Source organism: Homo sapiens, chromosome 4 (genome assembly GCF_000001405.40).
Source record: "Homo sapiens chromosome 4, GRCh38.p14 Primary Assembly".
NCBI classification, from domain to species: Eukaryota; Metazoa; Chordata; class Mammalia; order Primates; family Hominidae; genus Homo; species Homo sapiens.
Window position 1 is genome coordinate 189,348,355 of NC_000004.12, and position 1,755 is coordinate 189,350,109.

Consider the following 1,755-nt stretch of genomic DNA (forward strand, 5'->3'; position numbering starts at 1 on the left):
AGGTGCAACTACGTGTTATTAAAGTGACAAATGAAGCAGAAACAGAGAAAAGAGCAGAAAAAAATATTGGCCCAGCATATTTCAAAATTAATAATAGACACCAAACTACAGATACAGGTAACTCAGAGACCATCAAGCAGGATAAAGACCAAAATACTATATGCAGGCATGTCATGTTCAAACTGCAGAAAACTGAAGGAAGAGAAATTTAAAACTAAAAATAATATTTAAGAAAAATTTTAGAAACGGAGAAACAAGGAAAATAATTACAGCAGACATCTCACCAGAAATCATGCAAGCAAGAAGAGAGTGGAATAAAGTATTTAAAATGTTGAAGGAAAAAGCCATCAACCTAGAATTCTATATTCAGTATAAATTTTTTTTTTATTATACTTTAAGTTTTAGGGTACATGTGCACAACATGCAGGTTAGTTACATATGTATACATGTGCCATGTTGGTGTGCTGCACCCATTAACTCATCATTCAACATTAGGTATATCTCCTAATGCTATCCCTCCCACCTCCCCCCTCCCCCCACCCCACAATAGGCCCCGGTGTGTGATGTTCCCCATCCTGTGTCCAAGTGTTCTCATTGTTCAATTCCCACCTATGAGTGAGAACATGTGGTGTTTGGTATTTTGTCTTGTGATAGTTTGCTGAGAATGATGGTTTCCACCTTCATCCATGTCCCTACAAAGGACATGAACTCATCATTTTTATGGCTGCATAGTATTCCATGGTGTATAAGTGCCACATTTTCTTAATGCAGTCTATCATTGTTGGACATTTGGGTTGGTTCCAAGTCTTTGCTATTGTGAACAGTGCTGCAATAAACATATGTGTGCATGTGTCTTTATAGCAGCATGATTTATAGTCCTTTGGGTATATACCCAGTAATGGGATGGCTGGGTCAAATGGTATTTCTAGTTCTAGATCCCTGAGGAATCGCCACACTGACTTCCACAATGGTTGAACTAGTTTACAGTCCCACCAACAGTGTAAAAGTATTCCTCTTTCTCCACATCCTCTCCAGCACCTGTTGTTTCCTGACTTTTTAATGATCACCATTCTAACTGGTGTGAGATGGTATCTCATTGTGGTTTTGATTTGCATTTCTCTGATGGCCAGTGATGATGAGCATTTTTTCATGTGTCTTTTGGCTGCATAAATGTCTTCTTTTGAGAAGTGTCTCTTCATATCCTTTGCCCAATTTTTGATGGGGTTGTTTGTTTTATTCTTGTAAATTTGTTTGAGTTCATTGTAGATTCTGGATATTAGCCCTTTGTCAGATGAGTAGATTGCAAAAATTTTCTCCAATTCTGTAGATTGCCTGTTCACTCTGATGGTAGTTTCTTTGGCTGTGCAGAAGCTCTTTAGTTTAATTAGATCCCATTTGTCAATTTTGGCTTTTGTTGCCATTTCTTTTGGTGTTTTAGACATGAAGTCCTTGCCCATGCCTATGCCATGAATGGTATTGCCTAGGTTTTCTTCTAGGGTTTTTATGGTTTCAGGTCTAACATTTAAGTTTTTAATCCATCTTGAATTAATTTTTGTATAAGATGTAAGGAAGGGATCCAGTTTCAGCTTTCTACATATGGCTAGCCAGTTTTCCCAGCACCATTTACTAAATAGGGAATCATTTCCCCATTGCTTGTTTTTGTCAGGTTTGTCAAAGATCAGATGGTTGTAGATATGCAGCATTATTTCTGAGGGCTCTGTTCTGTTCCATTGATCTATATCTCTGTTTTGGTAC